Source organism: Homo sapiens, chromosome 1 (assembly GCF_000001405.40).
Source record: "Homo sapiens chromosome 1, GRCh38.p14 Primary Assembly".
In the NCBI taxonomy this organism is placed as follows: domain Eukaryota; kingdom Metazoa; phylum Chordata; class Mammalia; order Primates; family Hominidae; genus Homo; species Homo sapiens.
In genome coordinates this window covers 246,746,167-246,766,211 of record NC_000001.11, presented here as the reverse complement: position 1 = coordinate 246,766,211, position 20,045 = coordinate 246,746,167, and the positions used below count along the sequence as shown (strand labels likewise).

The 20,045-nt window shown below is 41.0% G+C and overlaps 1 protein-coding gene and 1 pseudogene across 1 annotated transcript in view, besides 1 other annotated feature; one reads left to right on the top strand and one right to left on the bottom strand.

Annotated features, from left to right (window-relative positions):
- SCCPDH (saccharopine dehydrogenase (putative)) overlaps window positions 1-20,045 on the bottom strand; it is a 43,729-nt gene that overhangs the window by 1,926 nt on the left and 21,758 nt on the right. The window contains exons 6-11 of the mRNA NM_016002.3: window positions 7,856-7,986; window positions 7,061-7,178; window positions 6,136-6,255; window positions 5,985-6,041; window positions 1,855-1,966; window positions 73-154 (exon numbers count right to left, since the gene is read on the bottom strand). Of these exons, the coding sequence (NP_057086.2) occupies window positions 73-154; window positions 1,855-1,966; window positions 5,985-6,041; window positions 6,136-6,255; window positions 7,061-7,178; window positions 7,856-7,986 (620 nt within the window). The remainder of the gene's footprint in view (window positions 1-72; window positions 155-1,854; window positions 1,967-5,984; window positions 6,042-6,135; window positions 6,256-7,060; window positions 7,179-7,855; window positions 7,987-20,045) is intronic.
- RPL35AP6 (ribosomal protein L35a pseudogene 6) lies at window positions 10,380-10,701 on the top strand (annotated as a pseudogene).
- Window positions 12,040-12,190: a silencer, noted in NCBI's record as "fragment chr1:246917324-246917474 (GRCh37/hg19 assembly coordinates)". NCBI's record gives its function as "represses an EF-1alpha promoter that drives an FKBP-Casp9 reporter gene in an ReSE screen in HepG2 liver carcinoma cells {active_cell/tissue: HepG2}" and the evidence as "EXISTENCE:reporter gene assay evidence [ECO:0000049][PMID:32094911]".

The following is a 20,045-nucleotide window of genomic DNA, read 5'->3' as shown; positions in this document are numbered from 1 at the left end:
AATCAAATCAAAATAAGCTAAAATATAACATAGATAAAAAAGATCTTCTAATTGGAAGAAAACCAAACTTACGCCTTAGGCAGATGAGAAGCATCACTTAGAAGAGTCATGGCTGCCTGAACCATAGCTATGGGGGTAGCCACATAGCCAGCCTCTGCAGAAAACAGTTGATCAGGGAAAAAGAAAGGAATCATGAAGTACCCATTCAACAACATCAAAAATCAAATGGTAGATTTTATATCTTACTCTAGGTGTGCAGATTTTTTTCAATAGATACTCTGGTCACTTAACAAAAATAACATATCGAAAGTATTTATTAAGTGTTAGGAACTGTACTAAGTGCTTTAGGTCTATTAAACTCATTTAATTTTCATAACAATTATTTAAGGTCAATATTACTTTTATCCCATAGAGAGAGAGGTTAAGTGACTTGTCCAAACTAACAGGTAGTGACTGAGCCAAAATCACACCCAGGCAGCTGGTTCCAGAGTCCACACTCCACCCACTGCACTGCACTGCTTCTTGACAATCATTGAAGCCAATGATCCTAGGTTTTTTGTTTCTCTATTGTACACTGAGCCGATCCCTATCTGTATTCACACACTTCACTTAAAAACAACAAAAAAATCCTCTCAATTTTTTCTTAAAGAATAACGACTAAACATAAGTTAAAAAAATGTTTATAAACAAACGGAACATTAGCATTTATAATCCTGTCAAATAATGAAAATACAGTCAACTTACCTTAAAAAGTCAGGTGGGAATTTCAGAAAAGGGCAAGATGGAAACATACTATCATCTGGCTTGATTAAAATCCCCCGTGGGCCAGGCATGGCAATTCATGCCTGTAATCCCAACCCTTTAGAAGGCTGAGGCAGGAGGACTGCTTGAGCCCAGCCTAGGCAACATAGTGAGACCCCGTCTCAATAAAAAATTATAGCCTGTGACCTAAAAGGGCTGACAGTAATTATACTACAGTTCACAAGTGGACCTGTCTGTCTCTGACAGTAATTATACCACAGTTCACAAGTGGACCTGTCTGTCTCTGACAGTAATTATACCACAGTTCACAAGTGGACCTGTCTGTCTCTGACAGTAATTATACCACAGTTCACAAGTGGACCTGTCTGTCTCTGACAGTAATTATACCACAGTTCACAAGTGGACCTGTCTGTCTCTGACAGTAATTATACCACAGTTCACAAGTGGACCTGTCTGTCTCTGACAGTAATTATACTACAGTTCACAAGTGGACCTGTCTGTCTCTGACAGTAATTATACCACAGTTCACAAGTGGACCTGTCTGTCTCTGACAGTAATTATACCACAGTTCACAAGTGGACCTGTCTGTCTCTGCATAGTTCTGTAAAATGTACAGCAAAAGTTCTTGAACGTTTTGGGCAACATTCTTTTAACAACCTATCAGAAGCCATTCCCTTCCCTTGAAAAGTGCACGTGTGCATACATATTTTACAAACAATGTCAGGGTGTTCAGAGACTCTAAAGAAATCCTAGAGCACAGATTTGACTGACATTATAATTACACTACTTGCATATGAGATTCAAACAGGTGAATATCAACCAATCCCTTTTCCTATTAATACTAATTAAAATTTGCCATTCTGAATTACTGAATCATACTCCAAAAACAGCCAGAGGGAGGGATGCACTAATAAAATTGGATTATATCAATAATTTCAATCTTCCTTTGACAGAATAATTTTAAGTTACTTAATTTGTACAAATGTATTTCTAAAACAATTAAGCTTTAAAAAGAATATATTGTAATGGCATTGTACTTTATAGCTTAAGAGTATAAAATTCCCAAGCATTCTTAAGTGATATGTGAAATACCTGGTCCTTTCACCTGAGTACAAATTTTGATATTTGGTTTGTTCTTATCTGTACCAGTGCCTTGGCTGTATCCTTGACCAAAGAATGTCAGCGTGAATGAGGCAGCATCAATCTGTGAAGGAGAAGGCAAAGGGCGCATTTCATAAATACGTCATTTCCTCCTGGAACATAGTAAAACCGACTATTCTATTTCAAGTGAGACATTGTCAATAGATGAAAACATTATTTTATCTGCCAGAATATCCCGTCATCATTTAAGCAGGGAGCGAAAACTAATTCTTTGAAGCTGTCAGTTTTGAAGACTGGCGTGATGTTGGGGGGAAGGGGAGTGGTAAGAAATAGGGAGGAAATAAAGATGATCTGGAGATAGTTTTTATCGGGGGGCAGAATATAGAAATCTGGTTTTAGATACCTATTTGAGGCGACAAGACAAAAATAGCCAGCAAGTAATGGAAATATGGGCCTGGAGTATAGGTATATAATTGTTCCACTTAAAGATGTAAAAATTCGACTCAAAAAACTAAATTCTTGAGGACTTATCCTAGCATCTTTCACAATCACTAAATTTAGGAATGAGGTGATAAAGAATTCAATCATGATCAACACATTTTTATGAAGTATCAACTAAGGGTCAGATACCATTGAGGCCCTGAGACATAATTACTGCCTTTGCTGGAGCTTACAGTTTAGTAGGAGGAAAGGGGGGGAGAGAGAGATAAACAGATTAAATAACAATGTGACATGAACTAAAACATACAGGCATAACTCAGAGGAGGGTGTTATTAATCTACCAGGGCAGAGGGCAATGGTTCTGAACTGTATATATACACACACACAAACACATTTTAATGGTTGTTTTAAAACCCCAAAAGTAGATGGATTCCAGAAAGGAGAACCCATTATTTAAAGGGAAGAAGGGATGCAGTAGCATAGCCTTTCCAGAACATACAATTCAAGAGGTACAGACAAGGTCAGACACACATGCCACACCTGTCCCATCTCCTGCTATGGCGCCCACACTAATGGGTTCTAATCCTCTCTCAGGCTACACACATTGTCCGACCCAGCATAGTCTCTGGGTGGCTACTATCAATTAATCAAAGTTGGATGAAAAATGAATCCTATGTGCTATCCAGAACTAGATCATGAAGGGTCTAGGATGGCCTCACATCTCTGAAGATGGACTTTCGGCCATTTGTGCTCCAGGGGTGGGTACCAAAACCACTCAAATCTGGAACCTTCTTCCTTCCTCCGCAGTGGTGATTCTCAACCCTGGCAGCACATTAGCATCACTGGGCAGATTTAGAGAGCCCCAGTGCCCAGGCTGCATTCCAGACCAACCGAACCAGAGTCTCTGGTCATCTGTTTTGGGTTCTCTTCCAAAGTTGGGAACCACTGCTCTATGCTTTCAGGCCCCACTCCAGACCTACTGAATCAGAACGTCCAGAAGCAAGATGAGGGCATGTGTCAGTGAAAAAAGCTTCCTAGGTGATTCTTTTTTTTTTTTTTTTTTTTTGGAGAAGGAATCTCGCTGTGTTGCCCAGGCTGGAGTGCAGTGGTGTGATCTCAGCTCACTGCAAGCTCCACCTCCTGAGTTCAAGCAATTCTCCTGCCTCAGCCTCCTGAGTAGCTGGGACTACAGGCGTGCACCACCATGTCCAGCTAATTTCTGTATTTTTAGTAGAGATGAAGTTTCACCTGTTGGCCAGGCTGGTCTTGAACTCCTGACCTTAAGTGATCCACCTCCCTCAGCCTCCCAAAGTGCTGGGATTACAGGTGTGAGCCACTGCGCCCGGCCATGATTCTGATATATGAAATCTCAGTTAAGAATCACTGCCAAAGCAGTGGGCCAGGAACATTTTATAAAGAAGGCAATGACAAGGTCAGATTTTGTGTCTTAGAAAGATCTCTTGGACAGCAGTGGGAAGACAGATTAGAAAGAAACCGTAGGAATGCTACGAAAAGTTCAAGCAAGAGATGGAAGCCTGCACTACCAACCACGAGACAGAAGCCTGCACTATCCACAAAGTAAAACGGCAACCCAAAGAATAACAGAAAATATTTTCAAGTCCTTCTGTTCATTTTTGAATTAGGTTGTTTTTTGTTATTGAGTTCTAGGAGTTCTCTATATTTTCTGGATATGAATCTTCTGTCAAATATATGATTTGAAAATATTTTCTCCAAAGAAGACATACAAATGGCCAATAATTGCAAATGAAAAGATGTTCAACACTAATAATCATCAGGTAAATGCAAATCAAAAATACAATGAGACACCACCTCACGGCCATTACAGAAAATAACAGATGTCGGTTTGGAAGCAGAGAAACTGGAACTCTCGTATACTGCTTGTGGGAAGGTAAAACGGTGCAGCAGCTCTGCAGAACAGTTTAGTGGTTCCTCAAGAAGTTAAATATACAATTCACATACGGTCTAGCATTCCATTTCTGAGTATATGCCCAAAAGAATTTAAAGCAGAGTCTTGAAGAGGTATCTGTACACCCATGTTCGCAGCAGCATAACTGGCAATAGCCAAAAGCTGGAGGCAACACATGTGTTCACTGATGAATGAATGGATACACAAAATGTGATCCAGACAGGCAACAGACAATCATTCACCCTTAAAGAAATTCGAACACATGCTTACAATATGGATGAACCTTGAAGACCTTACGCTAGGTGAAATAAGCCAGTCACAAAAAGACAAAGACTGATTCCATTTACATGAGGCACTTGGAGTCATCAAATTCATAGAGACAGAAAGCGGAATGCGGTTGCCGGGGCTGGGGGAGGGCGGAAATGAGGAGTTATTGTTTCACGGGTGTAGAGTTTCAGTTGTGCAAGATGAAAAGTGTTCTGGACATGGATGGTGGTGATGGCTGCACAAAAAGATGAATGTACTTAATACCACTCAGCATTTTTAAATGGTTAAGATGGTACATTTTATGTTTTGTGTATTTTACCACAATAAGAAGAAAAAAGAGGCCGGGCGCAGTGGCTCACGCCTGTAATCCCAGCACTTTGGGAGGCTGAGGCAGGTGGATCACGAGGTCAGGAGTTCAAGACCAGCCTGCCCAACTTGGTGAAACCGTGTCTCTACTAAAAATACAAAAAAATTATCCGGGCGTGGTGGCGCATTCCTGCACAGTGCCTACATTAAGTGCACAGGCGGGGGATTAGCCTTGTACAGGGAACATATCATCCAGAGAGGAGGAAAGAAGGTCGGGATGGAACAATGATGCTACGTTAAGTGCACAGGCGGGGATTAGCCTTGTACAGGGAGTATATCATCCAGAGAGGAGGAAAGAAGGTCAGGATGGGAACAATGATGATAGGTCTGAGAGTAGGAATTTGAGGGGATACAAAACAGTGCTCTCAATTATTTTAGTGAGGTAGGAGTTGGGATAATTTACAGATAGGGAAGACAGCTGCAGTTGGGTAGATTTTGAAGAAAGCCACTGAGAGGAGATAAGAGGCAAGACTAACGAAAAGGAAAAGAATCAGCAAGTGATGCTAACATTCCACAGAGGGGGAAACGGGAACTTGCTGCTACCATCTGTTCAGCAGTGGGATTTCCCCCAGGAGTGCCTGGTGTCAAGGAGATGAAAGCTAATGACCCAAGGCCTGAGCCAGGGTTGGGATCTGTAAGCCAAACGGTAGAAAATGAGGCAGTCCTATTGTTGGGGATGCTGGACACACAGAAATTCACTTGATCCCCCGTCGGAATCCAGGGTATGTGGAAGAGGAAGTGAAACTGGGGGCAGAGGAGGCACAAAGGAAAAGATAACAGAGGAGAAAAATGGAGGAAGAAGAATATTTGAGATTTCTGGAAGTGAAGAGAACACAATTTCTGGAGCTAAATGGCTGGGTTCTCATCCCAGCTGGGCCATGTACTACCTGGAGAAACTTGGGCAAGTTTCTTAGCCTCTGTGTGCCTCAGTTCTCTGATGTGTAAAATGGAGATAATAATAATACCTACATTCAAGGGGTGTTTGAAAAGATTGAATAATCTAATTTACATAAAGAACTTAAAAGAGTATCTGAAACATAGTGCCCTGTCAAGTGTTAGATGATACCGTCATTGCACAAAGAAAAATATTATTTTAGTGTCTTAATACAAAAGAAATTACCTGTTTTTGTGTTGGGCCTTGTTTTGAAAAATAGCCAAAGGAGAAGAACCATGGGAACTAAAGGGAAAAAAAAACCGTCAGTGATATTTTTTTAAAACTCATGGAAAATACTTCTAATAAAAATAATCTAATTTCATAAAATCTTACTTACTTTTATGAGAAGTTGCCTTCCAATTCCAAACCTCACAAAGAACAAAAAGAAAAGTCCTGCAAACATCAGCTTAATAACAGAGGTGATGCCTCCCACAGTTACATACGCAGCATACTGAACCTAGATGATGGAGAAGACAAAGTTAGAACATTACTCCCTACATTTTGGACCAAGTAAGAATGTTAGTTACTTGTACCTTTCTCTTCCATCACAAATGTGGAACAAAAGCAGTTTCCACTTTACAAATGCATTATGTTCTGAAATCTTGTTCAGAAACCAGACATTGGGAGCCTATTTTTTGTTTGTTTTGTCAGACCTGGTGAACAGGAAGTATGATAGTCTACTTTTTAAAGAAAATTGTTTATAAATAGTAATTAGCTTCCCCTACTTGGGCACAAAAATCTACATAATCCCTAATATATCTGAGCTTAGCAATCATACATTACAGAACGTAGACTCCTATAAGAAAATGCCCTCCACCTTTTAACTTGAAATATAATTTCCTCCTGAAGTCTCGGCAATGAAAGCAATTACTTTCCTCGCCAAAAGCAGCAGGATGGAACTCCAGGCGTGGCAAGGAGAGAGGGGACAGAAAGGGTTCCAGACATTTCCACAAGCAAAAGAGTTTCTAGCAACTGAAACCCTAAACAGGGATTCTGGGGTGCTTATGACAGCAGGATTTCCCGTATTGAATTTGCTGCTATTGTGTTACATTAAAAAGATATTCAGCAGCCAGATCTGAATCAAAAGACAAGGTTATAAAATACAAAATGTTCTACCCTAATGATTCTGTGTATTTCCAGAGGCTGAAACATGTATTACTTAGCTCTTCCTTTTTCTGCCTTATAAACAAAAATATCCCACACTGAATAGAAAGAGGAACTGTAACACACACTTTATTGATAAATAAACCATATATACTTACTGGTGATTCCTCTAAATTTTCATACAAGTAACGTTGAGTCCTCCTTACAACAGACACATCAGATCCCATAAAAGGAATGGAATAACCTTTGAGTTCCCGACAATAAGAAATTGGCCACCTGCAAGACAGACCTATGAATATTTTGCATTTCCTGCAATTACAACTTTGGCTGGTAAATGTCTGAATAAGCAAATCAGTGGCAGGGCATGGTGGCTCATGCCTGTAATCCCAGCACTTTGGGAGGCCGAGGCAGGAGGATCACTTAAGGCCAGGACTTTGAGACCAACTTGGGCAACAAAGAGAGACTCTGTCTCAAAAGAAAAAAAAAACCAGAACGCTCCTTTCAACAGCCCAACCCTAAATTCTTACCTCTAAACTTCTCACATATGTCCTGCAGTATAAAACTAAACTAAAATAAATTTTTAAAAAAGAAAAAAAGTTCTCACATAAAATTTAGTTGACAGTTAATTTCTATATTGATAGTGAAAAGTCATCATAAGATTCACTTATTTCCTAGGATTCACATGTTTTATTACACACGAAGTACTTAAGCTTATGGTAATGGATTAATTATGTCTTATTTATCTTAAGCTTATGGTAATGGATTAATTATATCTTATTTATCTCAAGCATATGGTAATGGATTAATTATATCTTATTTATCTGTGAAAACAATTCTGAACTTACTACAAATTAGTCTCCAAGCTTTTCTTAGTAACATACTTTATTAATAGCCAACCCAACAACAATATACTTAGACTAGATATATAAAAAATGGATTTTAAGTTAATTTACCTTCTCTTCAATTTTGGACCAATGAGCGGGACAGGTTTCAGATTTGATACATTTCTTAGTTTTCTCAAATTACTCTGATCTCCAAAACCATAAATTGCTGACTTCCAGGTACCATCATGAATGCTCAACCCCTAATAAAATATTTCAAGAGTTAAAGAAACATGAAAGGGTAGTTACTAAAATGTAAAGCCAAGTAACTTATCATTGTTACAAACAATATTTCACTTATATTTGGACAAGACATAATCCCTGATTTAATAATCTTGAGGAGAATTTTCATGACCAGCTAGGGAGCAGTCACATTCATTAGCTTGATCATACCCAATATTTACACCGAGAAGCCCTTTCTTCTCCCCTCCTATCATTCTTTATATTCTGTAATAAGTTATTTAGTTTTACTTCATCAATTTTACTCAACTAATTGACCATATTCCTTCAAGATCAGCCACTCTAATCCTTTTTTTTCTGCCCCATATGATCTGCAGGAATAGCCACCCTAATCCTCTCTCGATCCTACACAAATTCCTCAACATTTCTGGATATGTCCGTGTGCACATTTATGCATACATACACTGTGTACTGTCCATCTCTCCATCCTGTTACACCTGGTTCCCCGTCTACCTCCAACACCTCTTACTCTAGCCCCAAGTTATAGATCTGTCTTCCTACTGAAGTCTTAGTAAAATAATTGTTTAAAACATTTAAAGTTCACTAATAATGATTTGTATTTTAATTGCTTTCCTCAATCCCTTGATTTCTTTTTGGTATCACAGCCAGTACAGAGTCCTTAGTATTTGCCTGATCTTACTCAGACTCTCATTTATTCACTGATTTTTCATCCTTTCATGAGACTTTGGGCTGTCAGTGCCTTCCATTCTACCAATACTCTTTACAGCTTCCCCAACCCTTACCTCTAGCGCCACCGAGAAACGAGTGGCTGAGACCCCAGGAGAGGACACGACCTCTGAATTTACTATCACAGCGCTGGCCCTTTTTTTTTTTTTTTTTTTTTGAGACAGAGTCTTGCTCTTGTCACCCAGACGGGAGTGCAATGGCACGATCTCAGCTCACTGCAACCTCTGCCTCCTAGGTTCAAGCAATTCTCCTGTCTCAACCTCCCGAGTAGCTGGGATTACAGGTGCCCACCACCATGCCTGGCTAATTTTTGTATTTTTAGTAAAGACGGGGTTTCACCATGTTGGCCAGGCTGGTCTCGAACTTCTGACCTCAGGCAAGCCGCCCGCCTTGGCCTCCCAAAGTGCTGGGATTGCAGGCATGAGCCACCGCGCCCGGCCTAGCACTGACCTTTCTTTCCCAACCTCTAGGTGGGCCTTTTAATTCTCTATTACAGGAATAAACTTCATTTATTATATTGATTGTACATAATTGTATTATGTCCTTCCTTCTATGTTGTTTACATTGTTTAGGTCAACAGAGTAATTCAGAAAGATTCAAAACTAATTCTGTCACAAGATTTTCAAAGAGGGATATGTGGGAGGCAGATATGAAGGTACCTTTCATTGTTAATAAACAAAATAAGAGAAACAATAAAACCATCCAAAGATTCAGGTTTTCCTATCTCAGCTTTGATGATACTGAAAAGCAGAGATACCAAATCTAACTTTCATTCTGGTACAGATTTATTTCTTCTGTTTTATTAAAACTACAACAGAACTAAAGTCTTAAAGGTTTGATTTGTTATCTACTCAATCTGAGCCTAGCCAAAAGGGCCTATGTGAATCTCTACAAATGTAAAGATTCCAAACACCAGGAGAAAACAGCTTTTTAAAAATCTAAACATATTTTCTTATACAACTAAGCCATTGAAAAGGAAAAAATTACATTCAATTTAAAAAACTATTTGCGTTTCACAGAAAAATATAGAGACGTACCTAATACAATTTTATTAAATTGTATATTCATGTATGTTATGAAGCCAACGTACATGTAAACATCCAGGTCAAGAACTACAGGTAACCAGCAACTAAGAAGGCCCTCCTTCCGTCCTGCCTTTACAGTAATCAAGAAAAATTCTTTTCTTTAGAGTTTAATCACCTAAGAATTCATCCCTAAACAGTACAATTAGTTTTGCCTGTTTCTAAGCTCTACAGAAATGCAATCAAGCAAGATTTATTACTGAGTGTTTGGCTTCTTATGCTCAAAATTGTGATGTCAGGATTTACCACGTGTTGTAAGTAACTCCTACATTGCAGCTAGCCTTTTGACTTTCTTAATCGTGTGTTTTGGGAAACATTCTCAATTTTAAAAGTACACAAACGTATCACTTTTTCATTACATTTAATGCCTCTTTGTCTTTTTGTAAAAGCCATTCCCAACCGTGAGGGCATCCACAATCCATCTAAACTTGATTTTGGTACGGGGTGCAAAAGTATGAATCCAATTCCATTTTTTCTCCAAGTAGATACTCAATTGTCCCAGCAGCATCTACCGAAAAGCCCCCTTGCTGTTCCTGCCAACTTGAAGCCCGGAGGCCTGCTGGGAGGAGGAATTCTAAATGACAAGTATGCCTGGAAAGCTGTGGTCCAAGGCCGTTTTTGCCGTCAGCAGGATCTCCAGAACCAAAGGGAGGACACAGCTCTTCTTAAAACTGAAGGTATTTATGGCTGACATAAAATGAGATTTGATTTGGGCAGGAAATGCGCTTATGTGTACAAAGAATAATACTGACTCCTGGCAGCAAACCAAACAAAACCAGAGTAAGGTGGAGAAAGGTAACGTGTGCCCACGGAAACAGTGGCACAATGTGTGCCTAATTCCAAAGCAGCCGTCCTGCTTAGGCCACTAGTCACGGCGGCTCTGTGATGCTGTACTCCTCAAGGATTTGAACTAATGAAAAGTAAATAAATACCAGTAAAAGTGGATTTGTAAAAAGAAAAGAAAAATGATAGGAAAAGCCCCTTTACCATATGTCAAGGGTTTATGCTGACTTAATAACAGGTCTTGATCTCCAAGAGTGTCTTTCTGCCTTATTCTCTTTCAAGAATATCTTGCCTGTTCTCAGCCCTTTGAGTTTCCACATACATTTTAGAAACAGCTTGTCCAGATGCACATCGAAACAAAACAAACAAAAAAACCTGTTTGTGATTTTGATGGGAATTGCATGAGATTATAAACAAATTTGAAGAAAATTAACTACAAAATGGATTCATATTTTAATCCATGAATACGCTGGATCCTTCAATTTATGTCTTCTTTATGGTCCCTCAATAAAGGTTTACAGTTTTCTTCAAAGAAATCTTGTACACTTTCTATTACTTACTCTTAGGTACTTGATTTATTTAATGCTATCATAAATGGTGTTTTTTACAAAAATAATCACCTTCTAACTGTAGCTGGCATACAGAAATACAGCTGATTTTTATATTAATTTCATATCCAGGAACAATAAAAACTATTGTGGAAATAAATGAAACAGAATAGAAAAAATCAACAAAACTAAAAGTTGGTTCTTTGAAGAGGTCAACAAAACTGACACATTTTGGCTAGACAGACCAAAAAAAAGAGAAAGAAAACCCAAACTACTAAAATCAGGAATAAAAGAGGGAACATTATTACCAACCTTATAGAAATAAAAAGGAGTATAAAGGAATACTATGAAAAGTGTATGCCAACAAATTAGATAACCTAGGTGAAACGGACACATGTCTGCTCAGTGGATCACGACCCTCTCACACGGACCCCCTTAGAGTTGTAAGCCCTTAAAAGGGACAGGAATTGCTCACTCGCGGAGCTCGACTGCTGGAGACGTGAGTCTTGCCGAAGCTCCCAGCCGAATAAAGCCCTTCCTTCTTTAACTTGGTGTCTGAGGGGTTTTGTCTGCAGCTTATCCTGCTACAGCCTAGTTGAAAAAATTTATGTTCAAGTGCTATTTCTTTTGCGGCACTGAAAATTTACTTCTAACAAATTTGGGGGCCCGCCCGGGATTCCCATTCTCCTTTGGTGAAGGGTCTGGTCCTCTCCCATGAGGAGGCATGCCCCGCTGCCTTGTTGCAGTGGCCTCAGGGGTAAGGAATCAAGACCCACCGGGTGTGACAAATAAACCCGGACTCTCAGCAATGCAGAAAGAAACTGGCTGGCGACCTGGGGAAAGGGATCATCACACACCGCAGCGACCAGGTAACTCTGTGCACAGACCAAGGTAAGAAACACCACAGGAGCAGCCAAGCGTTTCCTCGGTGGTCGGGATACTCTGCGGGGGTTGAAAGTGTGTGTGAATGCGAGGAGCCTCCAGCAGGTGGGGCTAAAGGATAGGAGACACATCTCTAAGATGAGAGATGGGGCCTAACCAGGACCCAATATGGGAAATACCCCAAGCAAGACAGGGACCAAGAAGGACAAAGATAACAAGGATATTCCCCTTGAGTGCCCCCTAGGTCTCATGTTAAAATACTAGAAGGATAATGAAAGGACCAAAAACAAGAAAAAGCAGCTGCTGTCCCAGACCCTTCTCCTATCCCCATTGTCCCCCTCCTTATAACCCTGCCTCCTGGGAACTGTCCCAGGAGCCCACTCACTACGAGCGTTAAGTCCTCTTCCCTAAAAGGACTTCAGCGTGAGATAGAGCAATGTAAAAAGGATTTTCAGAACTTCCCTTTCCTCTCTTCTCGGGGGAAGAAAGAGCCACGATCCGTCGAACTGCTATGGGAGTCTTGGAACGTGAACACCCTTCTGGCCAAAACGTTCCTACAGCGGATCAAAAATTTCCCGCCCAAAACCTCAGGTGGGACAATAACAATGCAGCCCCTCAAGAAAATATGCAGGACCTTAGGGAATTGATAATAAAGGGGATTAAAGAATCAGTATCCCAGAATCTTACCCAAACATTTTATGTACAGCAAGGGAAAGATGAAGCACCTATAAAATTTTTTAGATTAAAGGAACAAATGAGAAAATATGCTGGTCTAGGTCTCGAGGATCCTCTTGGGCAGGGAATGTTAAAACTGCATTTTGTCACTAACAGTTGGCCAGATATTAATAAGAAATTACAAAAGATAGAGAACTGGAAAGATAAACCTATAGAAGAGCTTCTAAGAGAAGCCCAAAAAGTGTATGTAAGAAGAGATGAAGAAAAAAGCAGAAAGCAAAAATTCTGCTGTCTACCATACAACAAAGTACCCAGGGGGCCAGAACCTGTAAAGAACCTAGACCCCCACTCTCCAGGCAACATAAAGAGGATGAAAGAGTAAAGCCAGGAGACTCAAAGGTAGAGAAAAAAAATCCTAGAGGAGAAAGACTGACAGGGAACAGAAGGAGTCAAGGAGAGAGAAAGAGAGAGAGAGAGAGTCAAAGAAAAAGAGAGAGAGAGAAAGAGACAGAGAGGCAAAGAGAGAGAAAGAGACAGAGAGGCGGAGAGAGAGAGAGACAGAGACACAGACGAAGAGGCAAAGGGAGAGAAAGAGGACAAAACAAATGTTTCGAATTAAAAATAGGTCACTTCAAAAGACAATGTCCCAAATGGGAAAAAGAACAAAAGTCATATATAAAAGCAAATCAGTTCATATTAAATTTCTGTTAATTCCAGAGGCAGGAACAAACTTATCAGAGAGAGATTTAGTACTAAAATTTGGCTTACGCCTCTATATTGATTAGGGAAAATTCCTCCCCTCCCTAAACTTGCTCCCCACCGCAGACAAAGAACACATTCATCCCAAGGTATGGTCAAAAGACAGGAATCGAGGAAAGTTACAGATTCCTCCGATTCGTGTTAAATTAAAAAAATTAAAAACCCCTGGGGAAGTAGAAAAGAGAAAGCAATACCCTATTCCTTTAAAAGTGAGGGTAAATTTAAAACCTACAATTGATAATTGAAGGTCTTCTCTGTGACGGGCTGCTTAAACCCTGTATGTCTCCCTATAACACTCAAATTCTGCCTGTAAAGAAGCCAGATGGGTCATACTGGTTAGTGCAAGAACTTAGAGCTATTAATCAGATAGCCAAACAGACTACCGTTTCTTAGCTGTACAACTGGCCTGCTTTGCAGCTAGGGAAAACCTAGGACACATGGAGTTAAATGCTAGGAGAAGCCAGACCTCATCTGCACTTCTGTCTAGGTCCTAGGCTCTACACCTAGCACATAATTAAAATCCCAAACTTACAAGGTTTTCAACAAAAGTAAAGTTTGCTAAAAGTTAAGTCTAACATGTATGATCCTAACTTCTAATCTTGTGGCCTCAGGCAGTCTAGTCCACAGACATGAAGGCAGTGTGCTTTGGAAAAGAATGGTTATCATCTTTGACATTAAAAAAAAAGGAGAATTAGCCGGGCGCGGTGGCTCAGGCCTGTAATCCCAGCACTTTGGGAGGCCGAGGCGGGTGAAGCATGAGGTCAGGAGATGAGACCATCCTGGCTAACACGGTGAAAGCCCGTCTCTACTAAAAAAATACAAAAAAAAAAAAATTAGCCGGGCGTGGTGGCGGGAGCCTGTAGCCCCAGCTACTCAGGAGGCTGAGGCAGGAGAATGGCATGAACCCGGGAGGCGAGCTTGCAGTGAGCTGAGACTGCGCCACTGCACTCCAGCCTGGGCGACAGAGCGAGACTCCATCTCAAAAAAAAAAAAAAAGGAGAATTTATGTAAAAAGAATCTTATATGGTAAATTCTTGTCCTAAAGTAAATTAACTGGTTGTTTAAAGAAAGGGATATTTACGACAAGTCAGAAAGTTAAGGCATGTCAAAGGTCGTCTGTGAAAGTCGTGAAAAATGTTATAAAAGGGAATTTATGCAAGAAATGTCATATAATTGAAAAGTAATTAGGCCTCCTGAATGTAAAACTATTGAAGAAACAGTTTATGTGCAAGGTGTGTAAGGAAAGTAAAATATACTTTTGGTAAAAGGATTATAAGGAGGCATAAGAATGTGGATTTTTACCTACATTAAAAGGTTAAAAATTGTTTTGAAGGTTTAAGCAAGGTTTGAAAAGTTAATTGTAAAGGAAATTCTGTGTGTAAACATATTGGTTAAAGTTTCTGTAAACTGGACATTAAAATAAAAGCACAACAGGTTTTTCTTAAAGTACTAACCTGTTCTTTAACAAAAATTATAAAGGGTTAAAAAGAGTCTATAAAAAACTTATGGTCAGACATTAAAATTGGATAAATATGTCTAAAAGGTTTTATTAAAATTGAGTTTAACATTAATAGCACACTAATAGAAAGGTGACATTTAGCTGATCTGCTAATTGTCAAATATAAAATGGCATTTGGGTTTCTTTGGTCTAAAAAATTAATAAAAACAGTTGCTAAAGAGAATTCTGAAGGAAAATGGATACTGCCAGACCAGAGAGAAATGTTATCCAAACCCCTTATGAGCGAAATGTTGTTCCAGCTGCGTCAAGGGACCCACTGGGGGCCCCACGCCATGTGTGACGCAGTCCTCAGAGTTTATGGGTGCACAGGAATTTATACCCCGGCCAAACGGGTTACAGACAGTTGCTCAGTATGTAAGAAAACCAATAAACAAACTATAAAAAGATTACCCCTTGGGGGAAGGAGTCCAGGCTTAAGGCCATTCCAAAGTATCCAGATTCATTACACAGAGATGCCTCCAATTGGTCGTCTAAAGTATTTATTAGTAATAATAGATCACCTTACTCGTTGGGTACAAACTATTCCCTTTTCAAGTACAACTGCTAGTAATGTAGTCAAGGCATTAGTTGAAAATATTATACCCAGGTTTAGATTAATAGAAAGCATTGACTCAGATAATAGGACTCATTTCACTGTACATGTCATTAAGAAATTAGCCCAGGTACTGGATATAACATGGGAATATCATACTCCCTGGCACCCACCTTCATCAGGAAGAGTGGAAAGAATGAACCAAACTCTAAAAAAGCCACCTAACCAAATTAGTCTAGAGACTCGGGTGCCATGGACTAGCTGCCATCCCATTGCCCTGCCTAGAATCTGAACTGCCCCTCGGAAAGATGTTCGCTTATCCCCTTACGAAGTGTTGTATAGGTTGCCCTGTTTGCACTCCACTGCTGACATTCCCACAGTCAAAACAAAAGATCAGTTCCTCAGAAATTGTATGTTTGGTTTATCTTCCACTTTCTCGTCCCTCAGAACTATAGGTCTTTCAGCACAGGTACCCCCCCGCTAGAGTTTCCAGTACACCAACATTAGCATGAGGACCGTGTCCTTGTCAAAAGCTAAAGGGAAGGAAAACTCGAACCCGCTTTCGAAGGACCCTACCTAGTGCTTCTAAGCACCAAGACCGCGGTTCGAACAGCAGAAAGAGGATGGACTCATTACACCTGGGTCCAAAGAGCACCACCCCCTCCAGAATCATGGACAGCTATTCCAGGGCCAACTCCAACCAAGCTAAAGCGAAAATGGGTTTGAACCTCCTATACTGCATCTCTTTCTTTTCCCCTTCTATTGCTAGTCCTCTCTTTACTAGTGTAACTAGGTCAAGTTCACCCCAAACCATTACTTTTGACGCTTGCCTTCTGATGCCCTGTGAAGATTTGTCAAACCAGAGGCAAATCTACACTTTAGAAAAGTATCTTTATCCTTCCTAGCTCTCCTCAGACTGGAAATCTGTTAACTGAGATAAGTTAGTTTGGGAGGACTTTGACAAAGAGTCCAGTATGAACTGGGAATCTTGTCCTCCTAGAGCAGAGCTTCTCTGCCGAAATTTGTCCGATGCTCTATAAAACACCAAAGAGCAAGGACGGACGGCCCCAACTAGTACTTGCAGCTTCTTAAAACCATACATTCATTTTACTAAAGGAGTTTCCCCTCCCCATGGTCAGCTGAACCAATGTAATCCAGCACAGATGACGACTGCTGCTCCCCAGAGTTCTTCCCCTTCATTAGGCCATTTCTGTGGTGTAGGAGAAGTCTCAGGGAAGGACCCCATAGGATCCTTTGAAATGTACTTCATTGCCTCCTCACATCCTGCACCCCCTTCTCCCTCGTCTAAGTTCTCCACTAACCAAACTTTCTCTCATTATATACCCAATGATAAAACCTATGTAGCTACTGTAGAGGTTAAAGATTTAAAACAAACTACAGCAATTGAAACAGGGTATCTGGATGCAAATGCTTGGCTGGAATGGATAAAATATTCTGTTTGCACGCTAAACAAAAGCGACGGTTATGCTTGTGCAACAGGCAGGCCAGATACCCAAACTGTCCCCTTTCCACCTGGGTGGTTCTCTCATGACTGGGCATGAGCTGTGTGGTAGCTCTCTTCCAGAACCCTACAGCCGAGGCGATGAGTCATGCAAGACTCTTTCACTGCTGTTCCCTGAGGTCAAGAGCCTTGTGGGTCAGCCCCCGAGGGCCATGTGGCCTCCAGCCTGATATTAACTTCACCTCGTGCCTTTCACGGCAGACGGAAAAGTTAGCATTCCTTGGAGACTTAACAGGGTGCAGTGAAACCAAGCCTTTTCCAGAGCTTACCCACCAGTCTGCCCTTGTTCATCCTCGAGCAGGTGCGTGGTGGTATTGCGGGGGACTATTGCTGGGTATTCTGCAAGTAATTAGAGCAGCACTTGTGCTCTAGTCCAGTTGGCCATCCCTTCCACCCTAGCATTCTGTCAACATGATAAAAAAGAAAATCATAAAAGAAGTGCCCCACATGGGTCCTTTGACCCCCATGTTTATATAAACGCTACTGGAGTTCCATGAGGAGAACCAGATGAATTTAAATCTCGAGATCAAATAGCTGCAGGATTTAAGTCAATATTTTTACAGGTGACAATTAATAAAAACAAAGACTGGATACATTACATCTATTATAATCAGCAGTGGTTTAGTAATTACACCAGGGATACTGTCAAAGGGATAGCAGAACAATTGGGGCCCACTAGCCAGATGGCTTGGGAAAACAGAATGGTCCTAGATATATTAGCCAAAAAAGGCGGTGTTTGTGTTATGATTGAAACTCAGTGTTGTACCTTAATCCCAAACAACACTACCCCCACTGGGAGCACAACGAGCGCCTTACAAAGACTTACCGCTTTGTCCCATGAACTAGCTAAAATTCTGGAGCCGATAACCCTTTCTCCGGGTGGCTAGAAAGGTGGTTTGGTAAATGGAAAGAACTCAGCCTCAATTCTTACTTCTCTTGCAGCTGTAACAGGTGTACTCATTCTTGGTGGGTGTTGTGTCATACCGTGCATCCGTGGGCTAGTCAAAGACTTACAGATGCAGCACTAACTAAAACCTCCCTTAGCTCTCCTCCACCCTATTCAGATCAGCTTTTTCTTTTAGAGGATAAAGTCGAGCAGCAAAGCCAAGACATGTTAAAAAAAGTTTGAAGAGGAAATAACAAGAAAATTGAAAGGGGGGAAATTGTAGGATAGAATAAATTCCTCTTCGAAGGTTTCAGCCTGTAAATTGTTACGTACAATGAGTCCTGAGATCCTCTCCAAAGAACCAATGTGTCAGTTATGTTCCGCTCCCCTGTTCTTTGTTCTTTAAAGTTTAACATCCTCGTTCTTTACGTCTCCTTGACCCTAGTTTCAGTAAACAACCCCCTCCTAGCCTCTATCACCTGCTCTGATCTTAGTCACCCTTGGTCACCTGCTCTGTTCTTAGTCATCCTGAGCCACTTGTTCTGTAACTGTCCTTCCTCGTACCCCTGCTCTCTTTAAAATAGCCAATCGGAATTAGCTTAGACTGCAGTCCAACCCTAGCCAAAAGGGGAATGACACAGCAGTAGGGGCTACCTGTGTCAGGGATAAGAACACCTTCCCCTCCCTTGTTCAGGTGTGCTCTCACCATTGCTCCATCCACGAGATGCACCCTTCTATAGAAGTAAAGTTGCCTTGCTGAGAAATTTTATGTTTCAGCGCTATTTCTTTTGCGGCACTGAAAATTTATTTCTAACAGCCAGGCTGGTCTCAAACTCCTGACCTCAGGTGACCCACATGCTTTGGCCCCTCAAAGTGCTGGGATTATAGGCATGAGCCACCGTGCCCAGCCTAACTTTCTTAATTAACTGAAACCTGTCTCAGATTTTCTGGGTTCACACTCTATTACCCCAGGTCACATCAACTGGCTTAAGAATGAGCAAAATGACTAATCTTCTCTATTGTTTGACATATAAACTGGGTAGCTCTTCCCAAGAAATCATGAACCTTTATTACAAAGTATACTTGGGGATGCCAGTACCTTCCCTGCTCTGTCCGGAGCCTACATAAAGAAAAGCAGAAGAAAAGAAAGAGACAAAAAGGGAGAAACAAGAGGGGAAAAAAAGAGTTCGGACAGTATCATTTGAACATCTAGATCCAGCCATATGATTTACTCTCAGGCATTTGGTTACATGAATCAATAGATTCTTTTTTGTTTTGTTGGTTTAAGCTGGGTTTCTAACACATGCTACCAAGGGTCCCAAGCATGCTTTTCTCATTCTTGTTTCTGAGCCTTTGTTCCAGTTGCTGCCTTTGACCTTCCAAATGCTATTCACTTTTCAAAGCCAATTTCAATAAGGCCTCTATGGCGCATTCCCAAATTACTCAGGCCCACTATCACTTATTTTTATTTTTGACACAGTCTCTTGCTCTGTTACCCAGGCAGGGGTGCAGTGGCACGATCTCGGCTCACTGCAACCTCTGCCTCCCAAGTTCAAGCAATTCTCCTGTCTCCATGACCCGAGTAGCTGGGATTACAGGAATGTGCCACCATGCCTGGCTAATTTTTGTATTTTTAGTAGAGACGGAGTTTCACCATATTGGCCAGGCTGGTCTCAAACTCCTGACCTCAAGTGATCCATCTGCCTCAGCCTCCCAAAGTGCTGGGATTACAGGCGTGAGCCACTGCGCCTAGCCACTTCTTTTTATTCTTATAAGGGAGGAGACCACCCCTAATATTGTCTTATGCCCAGTTTCTGCCTCCAAAGAAAGAAGTAAAAACTAAAAGGCAGAAATGAAATCCACAGGCAGACAGCCCGGCGCCGCGTCCTGGGCCTGGTTACAGATTGACCCTTGACCTGACCGGTTGTGTTATCTATAGATTCCAGACATTGTATGGAAAAGCACTGTGAAAATCCCTGTCCTGTTCTGTTCCGTTCTGATTGCCGGTGCATGCAGCCCCCAGTTATGTACCCCCTGCTTGCTCAATCAATCACGATCCTCTCACGTGGACCCCCTTAGAGTTGTAAGCCCTTAAAAGGGACAGCAATTGCTCACTCGGGGAGCTCAGTTGTTGGAGATGTGAGTCT